Source organism: Homo sapiens, chromosome 6, assembly GCF_000001405.40.
Source record: "Homo sapiens chromosome 6, GRCh38.p14 Primary Assembly".
Taxonomy (NCBI): Eukaryota; Metazoa; Chordata; class Mammalia; order Primates; family Hominidae; genus Homo; species Homo sapiens.
The window spans coordinates 157,374,599-157,395,935 of record NC_000006.12 but is presented as its reverse complement, the minus strand read 5'-3'; the positions used below and the strand labels follow the sequence as shown (position 1 = coordinate 157,395,935).

The 21,337-nt window shown below is 44.9% G+C and overlaps 2 protein-coding genes across 4 annotated transcripts in view, besides 6 other annotated features; one reads left to right on the top strand and one right to left on the bottom strand.

The window, feature by feature from the left end:
- ZDHHC14 (zDHHC palmitoyltransferase 14) overlaps positions 1-14,746 on the bottom strand; it is a 296,968-nt gene extending 282,222 nt beyond the window's left edge. For all 3 annotated transcript variants that reach the window (NM_024630.3, XM_047419366.1, NM_153746.2), the window contains exon 1: positions 13,670-14,746. In NM_024630.3, the coding sequence (NP_078906.2) occupies positions 13,670-13,914 (245 nt within the window). In that variant the 5' untranslated portion in view covers positions 13,915-14,746. The remainder of the gene's footprint in view (positions 1-13,669) is intronic.
- Positions 13,689-13,828: an enhancer, noted in NCBI's record as "active region_25331". NCBI's record gives its function as "activates an Ori minimal core promoter by ATAC-STARR-seq in GM12878 lymphoblastoid cells {active_cell/tissue: GM12878}" and the evidence as "EXISTENCE:reporter gene assay evidence [ECO:0000049][PMID:35858748]".
- Positions 13,919-13,968: a silencer, noted in NCBI's record as "silent region_17725". NCBI's record gives its function as "represses an Ori minimal core promoter by ATAC-STARR-seq in GM12878 lymphoblastoid cells {active_cell/tissue: GM12878}" and the evidence as "EXISTENCE:reporter gene assay evidence [ECO:0000049][PMID:35858748]".
- Positions 14,479-15,368: a silencer, noted in NCBI's record as "silent region_17724". NCBI's record gives its function as "represses an Ori minimal core promoter by ATAC-STARR-seq in GM12878 lymphoblastoid cells {active_cell/tissue: GM12878}" and the evidence as "EXISTENCE:reporter gene assay evidence [ECO:0000049][PMID:35858748]".
- Positions 14,587-15,198: an enhancer, noted in NCBI's record as "H3K27ac hESC enhancer chr6:157801770-157802381 (GRCh37/hg19 assembly coordinates)". NCBI's record gives its function as "activates a minimal SCP1, AML or CMV promoter by ChIP-STARR-seq in naive H9 embryonic stem cells {active_cell/tissue: H9 hESC(naive)}" and the evidence as "EXISTENCE:reporter gene assay evidence [ECO:0000049][PMID:30033119]".
- On the top strand, positions 14,845-16,622 carry LOC124901446 (uncharacterized). The gene has a single exon (XM_047419644.1). The coding sequence runs from the start codon at positions 15,235-15,237 to the stop codon at positions 16,123-16,125; it is 891 nt and encodes a 296-aa protein (XP_047275600.1). The 5' UTR covers positions 14,845-15,234; the 3' UTR covers positions 16,126-16,622.
- Positions 15,529-15,608: a silencer, noted in NCBI's record as "silent region_17723". NCBI's record gives its function as "represses an Ori minimal core promoter by ATAC-STARR-seq in GM12878 lymphoblastoid cells {active_cell/tissue: GM12878}" and the evidence as "EXISTENCE:reporter gene assay evidence [ECO:0000049][PMID:35858748]".
- Positions 15,810-16,422: an enhancer, noted in NCBI's record as "H3K4me1 hESC enhancer chr6:157800546-157801158 (GRCh37/hg19 assembly coordinates)". NCBI's record gives its function as "activates a minimal SCP1, AML or CMV promoter by ChIP-STARR-seq in primed H9 embryonic stem cells {active_cell/tissue: H9 hESC(primed)}" and the evidence as "EXISTENCE:reporter gene assay evidence [ECO:0000049][PMID:30033119]".
- Positions 16,623-21,337: the final 4,715 nt, after the last annotated feature.

Here is a 21,337-nt window from a genome sequence, read left to right as displayed (position 1 = left end):
AATTATGAGAAAAATAGAAAGGCCTCAAGTACCGATTTTATACAGCTTTGCACGGATTTAGTTTCCCAATAGGCATATGAGTCTATCACTATATGTAACAGACACAGTACAGTAAGAAACTTGGGATTTTTTTTTTTTTTTTTGAGATGGAGTCTTGCTCTGTCACCAGGCTGGAGTGCAGTGGCATAATCTCAGCTCACTGAAACCTCCGCCTCCCAGGTTCAAGTGATTCCCCTGCCTCAGCCTTCCGAGTATCTGGGACTACAGGCGTGTGCCACCACGTCCGGCTAATTTTTTGTATTTTAGTAGAGACAGGGTTTCACCATGTTGGCCAGGATGGTCTCGATCTTCTGACCTCCTGATCCGCCGGCCTTGGCCTCCCAAAGTGCTAGGATTACAGCCATGAGCCACCGCGCCCGGCGGAACTTGGGATTTTTAAGGCTAGAGTGAAGGAACAATAGAGACGGAAAGGCTAGGTGTGGTGGCTCACACCTGTAATCTCAGCACTTTGGGAGGCCGAAGTGGAAGGATCACTTGAGCTCAGGAATTCGAGACCAGCCTGGGCAACATAGTGAGACCCCATCTCTACTAAAAAAAAAAAAAAAAAATTAGCTAGGTGTGGTGGTGTGTGCCTGCAGTTCCAGCTACTCCAGAGGCTGAGGTGGGAGGATTGCTTGAGCCCAGCAGGTCACGGCTGTGGTAAGCTATGATCATGCCACTACATTCTAGCCTGGGTGACAGAGCAAGACCTTATCTTAAAAAAATAAATAAAAATAAAAATAGAGACAAGGAGTGAGGAAGAAAGCTGGCAACACCATCCAGGTGTGGGCTGGTGAGGGTCTAAACTGTCAGTACTCACTACTTTCCCACCAGGGCACACGAGATGAAGGGCCGCTTCTGCCAAGCAAGTGCTGGGATTAGGCAAAATTATGGGTGCACGAACTGGCTGCAACCCCTGTCTCTCCTGCTCAAAGAAGCATTCTGGAATGGAAGGGAGTGGGAAGAGCTGACTCTGAATTTACCATCATTTTTTTAAAATTCTCAAACTTCAGCCCTGTAACTTTAGTGTTGTTGGTCACACATGAATCGCTGCATGCCCCAAACCAGTCCCAACACTTCATTTGAGACGTTCTGGCAGTTAAGTTTTCCAGTTACTGTGGCTGTATAATAAAGTGCCCCAAGATATAGTGGGTTAAGACGACGATGATGTTATTTTGGCCATCACTCTACAATTTAGGCAGAGCGCCGCAGGAACTGCTCATATCTGCTCCATTTGGCTTTCACTGGGATGGCTCAAAAAAGTGGGAGTGTGGGGTGGGGTCATGGAGGTGGGGGAGTCAAAGCACGTGAAGGTTCATTTACTCAGCTGGGGTTCCACTGTCACCTCTATTGCTATGTGGTCTAAACCCCTCTACATGGCCTCTGTATTATGGGGTGTCCAGGGAGCTAGACTTCTTGTACGGCAGCTCAGGGCTCCAAAGGTGCACGTCCCAAGTGAGAGAGAGAGAGAGAAGCAGGTGGAAACCTTGCCATGTTTTCTAACCTCACCTTGGAAATCACACAGCATCATTTCTGACACATTCTGTCCTTCATATGTGGGCTGGCCCATATTCCAGAGGAGAGGAATCAGACTCCACCTTTTCATGGGAAAAGTGTCAAAGAATCCGTGAAATGACTGTGAACCAGAACCTTCAGTACAGACACAGAGAGGAAGAATGCAGTCTAAGAGACAAGGAAGGAAAGGAGGCGTACAGCCTGATGGCGGTGGGTAGGCGGGAAGGGTGGAAGTGAGAATGTTCCCAGGCCACAGTTCTGCAACCCAGGAAATGTTCTTTCCTGAGAGTGGTGGGGCCCTGAGACTGTCTATTGAGAAGAAACTGCAGGCCATTCAGCTTTCAATGACTTGCTTTCTGGGAGTCAGAGGACACCTCGGCAGAGATCTCTACAGGCAAGAGGAAATGCCAGGTCAGGGGGCAGGTGCTCTAAGCAGGGGACAGAGACACAGAGATGAAGGTCACATTTGCAAAGGCCAGAGCAACCACCATGACCGTGCAATCTTGCTTAGGAAAGTTAAGACAGGCAGGAGAGAGAGGAACAAAGTTACTTAAAGGCAAGAAAGAAAGAAGAGATACAAGATGCAGGAGAATAGGAAATAATTAAAGGTAAGTGGGAGAGGAACATCCTAGAAGTTAAAGGAAGAAAAAGTTTCAAAACAAGAAAAAGTAGACACAGTATCTTATACCACCAGAGATGGTGCACTTAGGAGAGATCTTATGAGAGAAAGGGAAAAGTGAAGACTGAGAAAAATACCAGATTATGTCAAGGAAGTTGCCAGGAACACACATTTTAGAGACTTATTTCTATGATCAGTACAAGAAGGGCAATCATTTCTCAGCAAGTAGAAGTAACATCTCCAATAGACGCTGGTATTTAGTGTTAAAATAAGCTGTTGCCTTGTATTCATGAGCCACGCCTGAAAACCACCAAAAGATAGCAGACTTATTGAGCTCAAATTCCTTCCCAAGTGGGTTAGATCGCCATTCCTCCGCTGATAAGATTATCTCAGGGCAAGTCACAGGCAGGGCCGTTGGCTACACCCTCCTCTATCAGCTGCCTTGCTGGGCCCCACCTCATTCCCATGGCTCTCAACAGCATGGAAGTCAGCAGTTTTTAAAATCTAGTTTGAAGATGTACAGAAATGATTATACTGCTGTTTTTAAATAGTGTGCTAAAGTGTGCTTAAGTTGTTCTAAAATAGGCTGGGTGCGGTGGCTCACGCCTGTAATTCCAGCACTTTGAGAGGCCGAGGCAGGCGAATCACCTGAGGGTGGGAGTTCAAGACCAGCCTGACCAACATGGAGAAACCCTGTCTCTACTAAAAATACAAAATTAGCTGGGTGTGATGGTGCACGCCTATAATCCCAGCTACTCGAGAGGCTGAGGCAGGACAATTGCTTGAACACGGGAGGCAGAGGTTGTGGTGAGCCGAGATGGCGCCATTGCACTCCAGCCTGGGCAACAACAGCCTGGGCAACTCCATCTCAAAAAAAATAATTAAAAAAAATTGTTATAAAATAAAAAAAGTGCCATTGCAGTTGAAAGCAAGTCTACCTCCAAAGTCTCTAGAGGGAGACAGGGAGGTCTACTGTAATGGTATGTTAGCTCCAGCTATGAAGTGACAAGGAGGTAAAGGCAAAAACAGACCTAAATTAAAGATCAGCTAACTTCTACAGATAGAAGGATTGGAGTCAAGGGGGATGAACACACACACACACACACACACACACACATCTTTCTCTTAATTATGGATCCAGTCATGGCAGAGGAAACAATTTTTTCTCTCAGGTAAGCACCGAAGACTAGAAAGTCTACAAGAGCAGAGGCCTGGCTGGTTCAATCAGAAACCCTTGCTATCAAGGCTTCCAAAGAAAGCTGGCCACATGACACAGAGAGGAAGAATACGGTCTAAGAGACAACCCCCCAACACACGGGGGGCTGTATACACATTAGGTATGAGATCAGAGAAGAGCTTCAAAGCACAAAGTATTACAAAGGATAAAGAAAAAGAAAAAAAATTAACTTTCTTTTAAAATCAAGAAAAATCAGCATCAAATTAAGCTAGGAGATGAAGATCTATGATAAAGTACCTCACTCATCATAAGGATATATGTTTCTATAAACCATGCTCTTAATTGTATATAACTTCAATGATTAGTTGATAGCTAGGATTTATCATTGTAATAAATATTTTAATATCACATAAAAGCCAATGAATCCCATGCTAAATTCTCTCTCACTTATCCAGACCTAAGCATTTGGGTCTAGATGTCATAGTCATTGGCAGGACAGATTTAAGAGGATCAAAATCTGTAAAATGGAAGTCTTGCAGATTCCGCATTACATACAAAATGACAGCAAATGCCAAGAATCAGTAAGAAGTCAAAGAAAGAAAGATTAAAAAGAGACGAATAAACTGGGCATATTTACACAAATCAAATCCTACAGCAGTAAAAATGAATTACATATATATGCAAAAACATAAATGAATCCGAGAAATACAGTATTAAGTTTTTAACAATCACAAGTTGAAAGTTGTGAGAGCAATCACTCCCACTCTAACAATGAGAACAAGCCAGATTAGCTACAAAAGCATAGTCTGAAAAAAATCTGTCAGGGAGCTGAGAATGCAAAGAAGCCTAAATGTATCAAGTCCTTCCCAAGAGAAAAAAGGCCAATAGCCGCTTCCTTCCCTAGCAAAGCAGCAGGAAGAACAGGAATCCACCATAAACAGGAGTGAGGAGAAATCAAATAAATTTTTAACCCACATTAATGGCCATATGTGGACTGCCATATGAATTATGATTCCAAGGAGGCCTAGCCACCAGCCAACTCTTTCTTTACCAAATGAACTTTACCAAAAACACAACAAAACTACACCAAAGGCTGGGGGTAGGGCAGGAGACTAGAGAGACATCTTCTCTGAAGCCTACAGGACTTAGCTTCAGGGTATGGTATAAAAGGGTCAGAATCTAAAAACTGAGAAAGTCATTCTGAGGTACTCCAGGCCTTCACTCGGACCACTGCAGTAGCCCTCCAAAAGCTGGGGCACAGCAGCTGTACAGGGAAGATTTCTTGAGGTACAGAAACTTGGTGCAAGACTGACACAAAGACAACTCCCCAGTGACCCAAAAAGCCGGCAGTCAGGCTGAAAAACAGAAATCTTCCACTGTTTGGTAAGCTGGTCCTGGACTGTGAAGCATTTAAAAACCTCCAGAGTTTTTCCAGGGCTCAGATTTCAAGCCCTGCTAAGGGGGAAGTCCTGATTGTGCCTTCAAAACATTTGAAGCCAGTGATAAAAATGAATCTAACTGAAGCTTCCCCAAGGCCCAAACCTGTTTCCATTACAAACTAGATTGACTCACACACACTAGTGGCCTGAAAAAAGAATTTAAATTACTATAGACTTTATAATTCTCTTACATACAATGTCTGGCATGCAATAAAAAAAATTACAAGGCATGAAGGAAGAAAGAAAATATAACCCATAATCAAGAGAAGAAACAGTCCAAAGAAACAGATTCAGAGATGATGTAGATGTTGGAATTATTAAAGGATGATTAATAAACATGTGAAAGGATCTAGCAGAAAATATTAACACAACCATGAACAGATGGAGGATTTCAGCAAAATAAAGCAGACTCCTTAAAAACTATTTTTTAAGTGTAGAAATGTTCAAAATAAAAAAAAGATATCAAAAATTAGATATCAAAATTGGCTTAACATAGAAATATTAACTTGAAGACAACCCGACAGGAATTATCCAAACTAAAACACAAAGAGGAAAAGAAAAGAATTGACAAAAACATGGAATAAAGTATCTAAAAAGTATGGGACTATATAAAATGATGTCATATATAATTAACTGGAGTTCCAGGAAAGAAAAGAGGTACTGAAGAAATATTTGAAAAAAGAATGAAAAAATTTCCAAAACTGATGAAAGATATCAATCCACAGATCCAAGAAGCTCGGCAAACCCCAAGCGGGATAAATGTAAAGAAAACCATACATAGGCATGTTATCATATTCCAACTACTGACAACAAAAGATAAAGAGAAAATCAGCTGGAGAAATATCGCATATGACATATGGGGGGAAATGCTAAAAAAAATAACAACTAAGGTCTCATCAGAAACAACAGATCAGAAGACCATGGGCTAATATCATCAAAGGTCTGATAGGAAAAAGACTATCAACCTAGAATTCTACATCTAGTAAAAATATGCTCTTAAAATGAAGACAAAAATGAACTTTTTCAGAAAAAGCAAAAACCAAGATAATTTGTCACCAGCAGACTTGCATATAAGAAATGCTGATAATAATTTAAGCCAACGGAAAATGATATAATTAGAAGAAATGAAGAGTACCAGAAACGGTAAATACATGAAGATAAATATAAAAGTCCATTTAAAATTATCTCTATTTAATATATGTACATACATATATATGTTTTATATCTTATACGTGTGTATATGTGTTTTAAAATATGTTTATTTTACATAAATTTATTTTTCTTTTAAAAGCTATTGATTGTTTAAAAATAATAACATTACTGGCTTTATAGCATATATGGATGTAAAATATATGACAGTGGGTACAAAGGGTGGAAGGAGTAAGAGGAATTATGTTTTCTATTTCTTGCATTATTTGTGAAGAATAATACTATTATTTGGAGATAGACTGTAATTGGTTAAAAATGCACATTGTAATCTCTTAAGCAATTAATAAAAATAGCACAAAGAAACATAGCCTAAGACTTTGTTAAAGATAAAAGGAAATACTAAAAATATGCAATTCATCTAAAAGAAGCCAAAAGGTGGAAAAGAGAAACAAAATACACATTAGTTAAATAGAAAACAAATACCATGATGATACACCCAACAATATTGGGACAAATGGCAAAATCTGAATACGGACTGTTGCATCCATGTTAGATTTCCTAAAACTGATGCCATTACTGTATTTATATGAGAACATCCTTTTTCTTAAAAAATTACATGCAGAAGTATTTGGATGTAAAGGAACATAATATCTGCAACTTACTCTTCAATGGTCTGAGGGGGAAACTATTAATCGCAAGATTGAGGAAGAGAGAGAAAAAGACAGAAATAATTGCAGAAATATGTTAACAATTGATGAATCTGAATGGAGAGTATACAGAGTTCTTTAGTCTTGCAACCTTTCTGGAAGTTTGAAATCATTTCAAAATAAAAGTTAGGCCATCTGCAGAATTACATGGATTCATGAATAGACTGCTTTAAGTACTATGCTATGATGCTATCTTATGTTAAATCCATATTAAATCAATGTTAGCATTTTTTAAAAGACTACATATGGCATGATACATGATACCATATTTGTAAAGAAAAATAAACCAAACTAAACAACGTATTGTTTGGGAATACACACACTCAAAATCCCTGAGAGAAGACAAAGCAAGGTGCTGATAATTACCAAGCTCAGACTGTGACGACCTCAGGGATGGGCAGGAAGATGAGACTGGGCCAAGAGAGAGGACCGAATAGACTCAAAGCATTGATGTGATGTGCTTCTTGGGTTGGGTGGTAGTTTCATGGGTGCTTTTTATAGTATTTTACTTCAAAACTTGCAAATGTTACATATCATCTTCTGTATTAATCTCACATTACATTTTTTAAAAGATGGAAATTGGGGAGGTAGAAGATCATCCAGTTTATAAAAATAAGTTTGAAATGGGACTAACCTTCATATTTAGTGATGAACTGAACAAAAGCATTAGGTTAGTCCCCAACCCTTATCTGAATGAACTGACATTTTATTAGATCCAAATTCCTGGATGTAACTAATTAAGTATCTATTGATCACCACTGTTTTTCACTTTCCTAACAACCTCACCTATAAAATAACAAATGCACTTCCTTGCAACTCTTAATTTAAATTTTCTTGCTAAGACATAATAACTCTGCCATGAATAAATTATGTGCAACACTGTACTGAAAAAGAAAAAAAAATCTCCAGGATATGCAGATATGGCCCATTAAATAATTAACCATCACTATCTTATTATAGGAACCTAGAGGAGTCCTTTCTGCACAATTTAGTATCACTTCCTACTAGCTAAAAGGGAACACAATAAAACATGTGTAGTCAATAGTATCCTTCAGAGTTTTATTAGAAAAATTCAAGTGTCCAAAGTGAAAAGTCTATAAAATGAGAAATTATTCTAGGTGCCAGTGGTTGTTAGGTAACATTCAAATATATCCCAGAGTGCTTTATTTGCTTAAAGCATTTAGTTCAAAAATAAATACTAGAAAGAAGTCTTGGTTAGCCAAGAGAACATCCGAATGTTATCACTAGTTTTCTAAATAATTAAGAAAAGCTTTTTCTTCTGCTTTAATTAACACACTTGAATTCAGAAGAATTACATCAAATAATCAAAGTTTCTGAGGCAAATGTGTTCTACAAGACATTATTAATCATAAATTTTTATTAATGTACAGAGGTTTACAAAATGCAAAAACTAAAGCACAAGAAAGGTATTTTCCAAAGTGTTTCAAAATTACCATTACTTCATTAAACAGCAGATATTTACTGGGAGCTTGCTATTATAGACCAGGTACTATTCTAAGCCCTGGGGATACAGCAGTGAACAAGGCGAGTCCCCATCCTCAAGGAACTGACATGTGTTGATCATGTACACAAATGAATGGGTTAGTGCTTTCATGTCAATGGATCATAAGGTTTTCAAGTCACCTAAAGTTCTTGTGGAACCACAGTGGGTTATAAACATCCTTGGCTCCATGTACTATGTTCCTAGGCACTGTCCTCTGGTAAGGTCCTGAGGGTCACGTATTGTCTGTATCAACCCCATGGTGTTCTATGAGGCACAGCACTTAGAAAAAAACCGATGAGACCCTATGCAGATATTTTCTGAGATGGTGGAGAGGTTGATGCAGTTCTGCATGGCCAGGGGGTGGTAAGAAAATATGGGGTTATTATATATTATAAAGGCAGCACCCTCTACTAGAAAATAAGTTACCCATCTATAACAGAGACGTCGTTCTTGGAAATGACACTTTTATTTGCAGGGGATAGCCCCAAGTTCCATCTTCAAGGCAAACATGATCCCAGTTCTACTGACTTCCAATTATTCACTGTTTTTTTTTTTCAGAGGAATTAGCTAAATGTAAAAAGAAGAAGGGAAGGAAGGAGGGAGGAAAAGAGAGAAAGAAAGATTTTTTAAAAACCCTTCAATGGACTTATAGTGATGAGAAATTTGAGAATGTCCCCACGTTTTCAAGTGTCTGAGCCCCAGGAACACCTCCAAACTTGTCTGTGGTGGCAGTGTAGAATGCGGAGACCCAGTCAAGCCCCAGATCTAAGCAGACATTCCTCACCTCATATGATGCTGCTGAAAACACAAACCTCACCCAGCCTCTCAGTTTGTTTCCTTCATTCTGCCCCAGTGAGCAAGACTATGAAAGTTTAATATTTCAGGACCAAAGATTTTTTATTTTAAAAATTACAACTGTAAACAAAAGCAGGCTGTATGTGTGCATATGTCAGGGAGAAGAAGAAATTGTTAATGTTCACTGATCTTTTCAAATTCTACTTCTGGGAATGTGAGAATGACGACATCGCATAGACAGCCTTGATGAGACTCTTAATAGCTGCAAAGAGGGTGAGCTGTCTGGATAGCACTGCAGTCGGCTCCCCACCTCCCCTAAACACAGCTATGAAATGCTGTCACTTTTCATCAGTACTCCACACAGTGCATAAAGATGCCAACAGATAAGCAGTCCCTCCTTGCTTGAGAAAGAGTACAGGATTGCATCTGGTTGCTTCTAGTAGCTTTCTGTACTGTCTTCACTGTTCTGGGATGGTGGCTTCAAAAACAAAAATGAAATCCAGTCTGGATAAGGACAGGTCCCCAGACATCCCTGAAGGACTCCCATTCTGAATGGGTAACAGCAAAGCCACAGCTTCACAGAGGTTCCCTGGACTCACACAAAGGTGCTTATTTTATTTGTATATTTTTAAATTTTTATTTAAAAACTTAGAGATGGGGTCTCACTATGTTGCCCAGGCTGGTCTCGAACTCTTGGGCTCAAGTGATCCTCCTGCCTCGGCCTCCCAAAGTGCTAGGATTAAAGGCGTGAACCACTGTGCCCGGCCAGGTTTTTACTTTAATAGCGGACTGCACAGTCGTGAGCTTTTTCACAGTCACAGTTGCTTCTTAACCTACATGTTCCCTTCCTCAAAATGCTCTCAGAAAAGGGTGACCAGAGTCCTTGGGGGCCTACTTCTAAGATTTACTCTAACAATATGAACCATTTATTGAGCCCTTGCTATGTGCCAAACACTGGTACACAGTATACCGTATACTGTACTGTATATACTATACTGTATACTGTGCAAAGTATACATTTTCTATTTAATCTTCCCATCATTTAAAGGTAGATTATTATTAATCTCAGTTTACAGATTGGGAAACTAAGGCTTAAAAAAGACCAATCATTTGCCCAGGGTTATAGTGCTAGTAATAATCTTAGGGTCTGTCCTTCCAAAATCCATGCCTTTAACCAGTACCCTAGACTTGAACGAGGAGCAGCACAATTAGTCAGAAAGAGCACTGGCTTTGCAGCCAGAAGCCTTCCCACTAATTAGCTGTGCAACCCTAGGTGACTAACCTCACCAAGCCTCTGTCACTTCGTCTTTGATGTGGGAATAATCATTTCTACCCTGCCTTTCTCCAGGGGCTAAAGACTGTATCAACACCTGTTGCTGAGTTCTAGTAAGTTCATTTCTCTTGGACAAACTTTCTTGTCCATCTGTTCAAGGTCAGGAATGAGAGCTGGGATGAGAGAAGAATTGCAGACAGGGGAGGGCTAAAACTAAATGACTAAGTTATTCACTCTTTTTGTCACACATTTTATTTGCTTTTGTGTAACTGGGGAAACGCAATTCTAATGTTTGACAATGAAGTTTACTAATATTAAAAGCTATCTAGACATGATAGCCAGGTGCGGTGGCTCATGCCTATAATCTCAGCACTTTGGGAGGCCAAAGCAGGAGATCGCTTGAGCCCAGGATCATAGTGAGCAACATAGTGAGACCCCTATGTCTCTACAAAAAATACAAAACTTGGCTGGGTGTGGTGGTGCATGCCTACAGTTCCAGTTACTAAGGAGACTGAGAAGGGAGGATTGCTTGAGCCTCGGCGGTCAAGGCTACAGTGAGCCATGATTGTGCCACTGCACTCCAGCCTGGACAACACAGTGAGACTCTGTCTCCAATAAAAAGCTATCTAGACATGATGGCCAGGTGCAGTGGCTCACACCTATAATCCCAGCACTTTGGGAGGCCAAGGCGGGAGGATCACTTGAGGCCAGAAGTTCAAGACCAGCCTGGGGAACATAGGCAGACTCCATCTCTATAAAAAATTAAAAATAAATTTTTAAAAAAGCTATCTAGACATGAAATTAAACAATCAAAATAGAGGACCACATAACTAGAGGAAGGCAGGAGAAAGGCAGGCCAGGGGCAGGCAGTACTGGCATTTCCTCTGGATCTCGCTTAGGGATTGGCCTGTTGGTATTTTCTTCCTCTGTATGGGGTTAACTTGTTCTTTGGTCTCTAGCAAATTAATTTGGTCAAATTGGTTATTTAATTTATGAATAAAGAATTTGAAAGCAATACAGTGACAAATATTCTCAGCTAAACCATAATATTCTGTAGCTCGAATAGCCTCTGATTTTTCCAAACAGAGGCATCATACTAGGATGGGCCTCTTGTTTTCTTGAAATGTCAAATTGCCTAGTTGAAGCAACAACCATGGAGAGCAAACACACACACATATACACACATACGCTCCCACAGAGCTGATATAAAAAAGATGCTGCAAATAGCAGCTAATAAAATCCCGGCGCACACATTTATTCCTACAGTCATCAGTTAACATAACACTGACACAGAGAAAGATCCTTAACAACCTGCTAGTGAGGACTTTTGGGAACTCTTGAAAAAACACACGCAGAGATCAAGAAACGAAAATGAATTTATGATGGTTTGGTTAGAAGCTATGTTTGAATGAAGAAAATAAAAGATGTTAAGTAATAACTGGGGGGATCCCTAAGCATACAGTGGGGACTTGGGTATATACAGAAAATGAAATATTCATCATCCTCCATGGAGCACACTTGTGGCTGAAGCTCTGCAACAGAATCACAAAATTAACCCATTTTCTCCACAGTTAAAATCGCTAAAAAGAGCAAAAGTGCCAATTTGGATCTGTTCAAGATTTTTTTTAAAAAACTGTAGGAACACAGTTAATACTCTGCAACTAGAGGACCACCTGTAACTAAATTCACCATTAGAGAGATGGCATTTCTGTTAAACCACATGGCATCACGCTTCCAGTGCCAGTGTTCATCCTAACAGATAACGTAAACTCATGGGGAACCTCTATGCCCCTTCTTCCAGTTTCCAAGGTCTGTAAGGACAAGAGGCTGCTCTCAATGGGGGCCCATGGGAGCAACAGCAGCATGAGTAGAGTGTGTCTCCCTGCCACTCTGAATGCCTGTTCACACCCTTCCCCTCCCGTCCACAGGTCTCCCCACTGACTCTACCTACTAGTGTCAAACAGACACAGAACCTAAACATCAAGGGGGACCCGGGAACTGCACATACCATCGGAAATGGGGAAGAGGAGTTGTGTGTGAGAAGGACTGGGGAAGGGGAATTCGCTTAAATCAGAGATCCTTCTCATCGCCTGGTCTAACTCAGTCCTCTTAAAACTGCTAATCAGCGCACAGTGTCCAGATACAAAACGTTTCTCCTGAGAGTCAGAGGGCTTTGAGCGACAAGTATTACGTTGTCAAGAGATCATTCATTTCCAATTGAGACAGCATTTGGAAGAGCAAAAGCCAGGCACAAAATTAGAGCCTATTAATCCTAATCAGAAACAAAAGTAAATAAATTCAAAAGGTTTTAATTGAGCCTACCCAACAGGAGGAGGCGGAGACTGAAGGAGTATCAAGCCCAATAATAACCAGGATTTGGGAAGCCCAAAGAAGAGCTCCCTATAAATATATTGCTTTCTTTAAATTCTGAGGGGAAAAAAGTAACTCCACCTTTCATTGAACATAGGATACCAGAAATTACATAAGGAGTTGCATTCCAAATGTTGGATGCAAAAAAAGCAACCAAAATTGATTGGAATGTGGTTTAACTGCTTTATCTAATCACTGCTAATAAATAAGAAGACCTTTCATTAGTTGGCAGGAGGACAGTTGCTACTGGCCAATTTGATTTTCCTGAAAACGGTGAAGACTTGCATGCGCTTTTTATCCCCCCAGATATAATCCCTGAAGTCCAGACTGTTTCTGGAATCGGAAGTTGTCACGTAGTGTCATCCTCTTCCTTAACAGACCTAAGGTCTCCTTTCACATGTTCCCAAATTGTTTGTTTTGGACACCTTTTATTGCAACCTTTTTGAAAGTGAAGAGTTTAGAAACCTCATGGCAAATAAGAAATTGTTAATCCAGAGTGAGCATGTAGGAGGCTGGAGAATGCAATGATCTATCCAGGGCACACTAGGCAGCCGACACTTTGAAACCTGAAATAGCCAAGATTCCTCAATTATTCGTCGAAGTTACATGGGAGATTCAGTCAACTGAGCTTAAGAAGATGCCCTATATGTTGTCAGCAAGGGGGAAAAAGTCAGTTCCATGTATCCCTGACTTAGGAATCTATCGCACCCCACCTTCCCACGGCAGGCTACATCTGGGCTGATTTGCTGGGTCCCCAAACTCGGTAGAGAGCGCCCCAAGGATCAGGGACCGGCGGCCCCACCTGCTGGGTCCCATCCGCCACCTGGATTGGCAAGGCCTGGCCCCCCTTGCAAGTGGACCCCTTCCCTCCCTGCTCCCAGAAGCCCAGCCCAGAACGGCGTTCTTTCCGGGGGCCCAAAAGCAATCAGACCTTTAAAAGAAAAAAGAGGGAGCGCAGACTGGCATTATATAACAATTTACAGTAGATAAGACTTCTAGAAAACGAAAGCAGCCCGAGGAGGGGCGGGGGACAGGGGAGACCAGGGGAGTGCGGCGTCGGGGGAGCGGTCGCCACCACTTACTCGAAGGCGAAGAAGAGTCCGCTAGTGACCAGGATGAGGACGAGCGTCAGGTAGAAGACGCCCGTCTGCCGGGCCATCATGATCCTCCCGTTACAGAAGAACTTGTTTCTTCCCGGGAACACCTCCCATTTCCTCCGGGCCGCGATTTTCTTCTTCTTGTGGGGCGACTCCATGGGGGAGGAGCTGTGGGTGCTGATCTGGCTGTACTCGCAGTCTTTCATGGGCCCGCCGCCGCCGGGAGGCATCCACGAGGGCAGCCGGCTGGGGGCGCACACCCCCAGGAGCCCCCCGGCCGCGCGGGCCCCGCCGAGCCACGACCGCCGCCGGCCGCCCGGCCGCCCCCCGAGCCGCGGCGCCGCGGCCCCTACACGGGCTCCCGGCTCGGCGACAACTTTGCCGAGGACACCCAGGTTAACCCTCCGGGGAGCCCAACTGTCATAGCAGAATCCCCGCTCCGTGAGGGGACGGCGCTGGTCCGCAGCCCGCGGCAGCACTCCTCCGTCGCTTCCAGCCCGCGTCCCGGGGCGCGGGGCTCAGCCCGGCCGGCCCCCGGGTCGCCGAGCGCCCGCCCCCTCGCGCGGCTGCCCGCTCGGCCCCGCAGCCCCCGGCTCCCCGGCCGCGCCTCGGCTCTGGCCCGCCGACCCCCGAGCACTGCGCCCCGAGGGGACACGAGGCGGCGGCCCCGGCGCCGGCTTCCTCGGGAGCCACTTCTGCGGCGCGGCCAGGTTGGGTCCACTCCTTCCTCCGGCAGCGGATCCTCCCAGGAGAGAGCGCTGGCGACTGGGCGGCCGCGCGCGGCACCGGCAACCCCTCCCAGGGGTGGGGACAACCACGCACGTTTTTCTGTCAGGAGCCTCTCGGCGAGAGCCGGGGCGCCGCTCGCACCGCGACCCGGTGTCGCTGCGCCTGGCAGCCTAGTCGAATCCGCGGCCCCCGCGCGGGGATGCGCGGGCCGAGGGCGGCGGCGGCTCGCGGGCCGCGCGGCGAGGGCTCCCTTGCTCCCTCCTACCCGGAGGAAGCGGCCCCGGCGCGAGGAGGGCCGCGGGGACACAGCACAGACACTTGTTTGCAAGGCTCAGCCCGGCGCGCGCGCGGCGCTCCGAGTGGGTCCGCCTCCTCCGGGCCGGGTGGGCGGTGGCCTCGCGCCTCACCCGCGGCTCCTCCTCCTGCTCCTCCTCCTCCTCGCCCGCGAAGCCAGGGCACCGGCGCAGCGAGATTCCAGCCCCAGCCCCCTCGGGCGGGCGCCCTGGGGTGTGGAAGGCGCGGGGCTCCCTGTGGCATCGCCCAAGTAGGGATGGGGTCGGGCGCCCGCGGCCCCGCCGCGCAGTGCGCTCCTGGCCGACTTCAGTCCGTCTCGCGGCTTCTTCCGGGTTTATCCCGCGCAGCAGCTGCCGCCTCGGGACACGCTCATTCCCACGGCCACCGGCAAGCCACTCCTGGCGACTCCCCGGGACCTGAGGAGCCGCGGCGCGGAGGTGACCCTCCCCGGCCTGCGCCTCCCTTCTTCCTCCTCCCCAGCTGGGCGCGTGGTCGCGTCGCCCGGGGACTCTGGTGATGCCCGAGAAATGGGCTGGGGGTGCCGGGTGCCAGGATGGGGTGGGGCGGCCCTAGGCCGGCCTGACTTCGGGACCGGGCTGCGGGCGAGGGTCTCGGGGCCCGGCTCGGCCGGCTTCCGGGCCGAGAAAGAAGGGCAGAGGAAGCGGTCAGGGTCCCCTCCGGCCCCGGCCTCCCTCCCGGAGTATAAGCCCTTGGAGGCCAGGTTTTGGGTTGCTGCCGCCCAGCTCTTTCGGTCTCCACTTCTCCCCACGGACGTTTACAGCTGCTCGCTTTATTTCTCCCTCCATTCCCCCGTGGAGCCCCCTCGGCAGCGGAGGGGTCGCGTGCTTCTCCTCTCCCGCCTGCGCCTCCCCCCTTCCCACCCGACAGCCCAGGAGGAGCTGCGGGCGCGGCCCTGGGACGGCCGGAGCCTGGGGCTTCTGCTCGCTCGCGCCCTCCCAGGCGTTGCCGCGGGTCCGAGCCCCCGCAGAGGTGGGCATAGCCCCGGGGCCGCAGAAAACGAAGGCAGCTGGGCAGGGATGCTCAATTTCCCGAGCCCCACTTTCCTTTCACAGCCCACTGGGATGTGTAGTTCTTCCGCCCGCAGGCCTGCGCCGAGGAGAAGCACGACTCGGGGCCTTAGAAACTACAAGTCCCTGCATCCCCCGCGACAAGGGCAGGAGAGGCGTGGTGCTGGGCGTTCTGGGGCTAGGTGGTGGGAGATGGGAACCAACAAAGGGGGTTGTGGGGAACGGTGCCTTCTCTGTACTGGGCAGTTTGCACGTTACACATGTTCTTTGTCTAATCTTCGCCGGAACCCGGTGAGGCATTATTGTATCCAGCTTAGAGAAAGCTTAACTACTGGCCAAACATCACAAAGCTCCCAAGTAGTAGAGATGGCATCGAACCCAGAGCCCTAAGTATGTCCCTTACAAAGCGTGCCTCAGTGAGGAGTGTCGAAGGGGGATGAGATTGGCTTATCCAAGAGGGCCAGTTGGGAGGAGCTGTGGTAAGGAAAAAGTGATGGGAATAGCAATTAGAGTATGACATGCAATTACAAGGAGTTTTGAATACAAGTGAAATTTACAGGGGTCCATTCCAAAGCCGGTTAGAGTCTAGGGAGAATGGATCTTAAGCACACGATAATAATTGGGTTTTAATTATTTTAGATATTGTATGAGAGACAAGCATATTACAGGGACAATTAAGTATTTGTGGCTGGACTAGTTTTAAAAAACCAACTGGAAAGCTTCATACATTTCAAGTGAAAGCTCTCATATGCTTTCCTGTCCTTTAGCTAATGAGATCAACGGGGTATTATTCTTATTCTGTTTATTGCAAGCACCTTTTCTGTGGGTGTCCAATTAATATAATAGATCCATTGATTTGATGGCATTAAAAAAGACTCCCACTCTTATTCTCAATGAAACCGAATTTTTCTGGCATTATGGTTATGCTTTTAAAAAGTCCTTCCTTGTCTGTTAGAGATATGTACTAAAGTATCTGCCAGCGAAATAATATAAAGTCTGAAATGTGCTTTAAAACACACCAGCCCATCCACTCCCCTCCTCCCACCCACCCAGCTCCAGACATGGAGGTATAAATGAAACAATTGGAAACTGTTGAAAATAGTTGACCTTGGGTGACATGTACTTGTACTTAATTATTTATTGCTGCAAATTGCCACAAACGTAGTGGCCTTAAAACAAGACAGATTTTTCTCACAGTTTTTATGGATCAGGTGTCCAGGTACACTCAGTCCCCCACTTAGGGTCTCACGCCTGCCATCAAGGGGCTGGCCAGGCTGCGTTCACATTCACTGGAGAAGAACTGGCTTCCACTCTGACTCCGGGCACAGGCAAAATTCCTTTCCTTGCAGCAGTAGGACCGAGGGCCCTGGCTTCTTGCTGGCTGGAGACTGGAGACTGTCCTCAGCTCCAAGAGGGAACCTGCAATTCCTAGAGGTTACCTGGACTTCATTGTCACTTGGGCTTTCCGAGCACAGCCACTTATTTTGTCAGGCCTGCAAGGAGAGTCCCCAGAGTGAGTCTCCAGCAAGACAGAATTTTATATAACATAAAGCAATCCCACGGGGGCAACTTCAAATGTGAACATTCTGTTGGCCAGAAAGCATGTTTTGCACACACTCAAAGGGAGAGGAGTACACAGGGCATGAACCCTAGGGTGAGGGACACCCCGGAGTGCATCCACCACAGTGTACATGAGAGTCCATTATGCTTTTCTTACCTACCACATCTACTCATGTTTATGTTTGACATTTTCCATAATAAAAAGAAATGAATTCGTTTTAAAATGTTACCTAAAGTTTCCACAGCAAATAAGATATGCTGATATGATTTCTAAATAGCTGATACAATTGTCTGTAGTTGTCTTCCAGGGGATAACTTTTTTCTTCCCACTCCATGTGTACTAAGACCTCTGCGGTTAATTCACTTGTATGGGTTACCCTCCCCTAAGAGCGTTCACTAGAACCTGGTGTGTGATAGCTGCAGAGTTCACCTCACCAGCTACAGTTGATCTTGAACAATATGGGTTTGAACAGCGTGGATGCCCTTAGACACGGATTTTTTTCAACCAAATGCAGATGGAAAATACAGCATCCGTGGGATGGGAAATGCGAGTATTCAGAGGGCAAAGGCCCACTCTTCCTATATGCAGGTTCTGTGGAGCCTGTTTAAGGACCTGAATATGTGCAGATTCAGGTATACGCAGGTGATCCTGGAACCAATCTCCTGAGGATACTGAGGGATGACTGTAAAACCTACTGTATAAGGGATGGTAGAGTTTATTCATTTATTTTACAGTTATCTATTTCAGGGCCTAGATTGTGCTAAGTACTGTTTTAGCAGCAGTGATACAAAAAGATCCAAGATAGAAGCTTATATTTGGGGACTGGGGGAGAGGTGGAGAGAATAAACAAATAAATAAATGACTAGTAAGACAATTTCAGAGAGTAATTACAAGAACGAAAAAACAAAGCAGGGTTATGGGATGGAGAGACTGGGGTCGGGCAGAGAATCGAATGATGGGAAGGGGCAAGTACCAAGTCCTCAAGGCAGAACAACCTGGAAAATTCTAGGGGTACAAAGAAAAACCAGTCTGGCTGGAGTGGAGCGAGGGCCAGGGAGAGAGGGAAAAAGGAACAGGAATTCATTCTGTGTGCACCAGCATCAATTCTGTATGCCACACTCTGTACCCACCATCGGTGTAAGTGTTGAGGGGTCTGAAAGAAAAATCACCGTCCTTGCCCTCCAGGAATGTATAGATTCCAAACTTTAATGCTAGAGGGACGTCAGCGTATCTAGAATTAGAGACCAAAACTTGTATTTCTCAAACAAGGACACTGAAAAGTCAAAAGACCTGCTAAAAATTCCTTGAGAATGCCTCGCCAATAACAAATAATCCAAAAATGAGTCTTGAATTGAATTGAAAGAGTGCATGATCTACTTTTGCTAAATGGGGTTTAGCCTAATACTGCCTCTTTACATATTTTAAGTTTGGCCTAAAGGTTTCTCTGTACACTGAACTGTAGCCTAAATGGAAGTGTAAACAGAGTGTGATCTACTCGGGTGTCAATTACTGAGTTTTGGCCACTCAATTGTGGCCAGCTGTTCAAACCATGTTCAAATAAGACAAATGCTGAGCTGTAACCATCTGGCTGTTTCCGTACCTCATTTCCGCTTTCTGTACGTCACTTTCTTTTTTCTGTCCATAAATTCTCTTCCACCACGCGACTGCACTGCAGTCTTTGAGGCTACCCTGGCTCAGGAGGCTGCCCAATTCATGAATCATTCTTTGCTCAGTTAAACTATTTTAAATTGAATTCAGCTGAAGTTTTTCTTTTAGCACTTTAAAGCTTTAGAAAATTGATAATGTTTAGTGCTTGTCACGTGCAGGTCAGTATGATGAAGGTAAATGCGGCAGAGAAACTACAGTTAAGGTTGGGAAACAAGATGGAGGCACATGAGAAATTCAATAATACAAGAGAACGATATTATAAAAATAATGATCTTTTCTCCAGAGTATTTTTGTATTAGTCAATCTCCTGGTTCTTTATACATTTAGATCATTAAATCCGGAGGACAACCTGATGAGGCAGGGATTATTATCTTTATTTCACAGAGGAGGAAACTGAAGATCAGAGAAGTTAGGTGATTTGCCCAGGGTTTTGCAGTAAGTAAGTAATAGAGTCAAGATTCTAGGCCAGGTATGAATGTCTGACTCAAGCTTTCCTATATCCCCCACACAATGGAAAGAGCACGCGGTCTGATGAACCAACAACTGAGTGGAATAGAGAAATCATCTTGATTTCAGAGTGAAGAGAAATCTCAGGCCCAGCCTGTAGCAAAGTGCACCTCTGACCTTGACAGTTTGGACAGGAAGAATATGAAAGGGTTAGTCTCTCAGGGAAATGGGGATGGGTACAGAAAAGTAAATTATTGGGAAAGTGCATGATGTTTCTAGCTGGAGTAGAACTGACAGGGATCCAAGCACAATTAGTTTATTTGGGAGGGGATTGCAGAAAACACCAGCAGAAGAGTGAGGAAGTGAGATAGGGAGGGAAAAGAAACCAATAAAGCATGCGCTATCGAGCAAGCTACCATGGTGGGCCACCGAAATCGGACCCTCTAGGGCAGTGGTCCCCAACTTTTTTGGCACCAAGGACCAGTTTTGTGGAAAACAATTTTTCCACGAACTGGAGGGTGAGGGGATGGGGGCATGGTTTTGGGATGAGTCAAGTGCATTACATTGATTGTGTACTTTATTTCTATTATTAGTATTACATTATAATATATAAAGAAGTAATTATACAACTCACCATAAGGTAGAATCAGTGGGAGTCTGAGCTGTTTTCCTGCAATTAGACGGCCCCAGTGGGGGTGATGGGAGGTAGTGACAGATCATCAAGCATTAGAGTCTCATAATGAGCATGCAACCTAGGTCCCTCACATGCTCAGTTCACAACAGGGTTCACACTCCTATGAGAATCTAATGCTAATCTGACAGGAGATGGAGCTCAGGCAGTAATGCGAGCGACGGGGAGGGCTGTAAATACAGATGAAGCTTCGCTCACTTGTCCACTGCTCACCTCCTGCTGCGCAGCCCGGTTCCTAACAGGCCGTGGACCAGTACTGGTCCGTGTCTCTGGGGTTTGGGGATCCCTGCTCTAGGGGACTCTGGGAGGCCCGAGGTGTGCAACCTGCCAGAGTTATCCCAACTGAGGGGCAAGAAAGCTGAAGTTTATTCACCAATTCCCCATCTGTTATTAGTCGAGACCTCCTTCTGGGAGCATTACTCTACCTTCTTTACGTTTTCATCACTCTCCTCAGTTGTCACTGCCATCAGCAATTACAGCAACGAGCTGGCCCTCCCTGGTTTGTTAGTATCTTTGATTCTAGTAGGTCTCTCCCTGTCCTCATCTGACTCAGTGGATTCACTGACAATAGGGGTTATGTTATTCACAAAGCTAGAGCATTGTTCTTTTCATGTCAGCAGCTCAAAGCATTCCACAAACCCATCTCATTAGTTCTCAGCATACCTTCAAGAAGCCAAGAGGAAGTATAGCCTTATCCACTGTGAAAAGGGAAGACATTCAGATTCCAGGACAGGACATGATTTATATACCTTTCAGGGCCAAAAATGAGTGTGCTGTTCACGTGGTCAAGGTACATACAGGTCAAAGTGTCACAGTCCTAGGAGAACTCCGAAATCGCCAGAAGGGATGTCATGAGAGAGTTCTAGGATGGCTGGAAGTAACTGCTGAAGCTTCTATACCAAACAAGATTCTTCAGAAAATCAGACACCTTAATTTCTTCCAACCCAGAGAGTCAGCTCCCACTTTAGCATGTGCTCAGCACAGCTGGGAACATCTTGTGTTGAAATATGTAAGGTGCTTAAAATATAATAATAAACTCAGCACTACAAGAAAATATTAGTTTGAAGCAGAAAAACTTTAATTCAAAACTTTTTTTTTTTTTTTTTTGAGACAGCGTCTGGCTCTGTCGCCCAGGCTGGAGTGCAATGGCTGGGATTACAGGCGCGCGCCACCATGCCCGGCTAATTTTGTATTTTTAGTAGAGACGGGGTTTCTCCATGTTAGTCGTGCTGGTC

Bases quoted from the DNA above. Each gene is read 5' to 3' on its own strand.
- LOC124901446 (XM_047419644.1), top strand. From the start codon at position 15,235: ATGGGCTGGGGGTGCCGGGTGCCAGGATGGGGTGGGGCGGCCCTAGGC.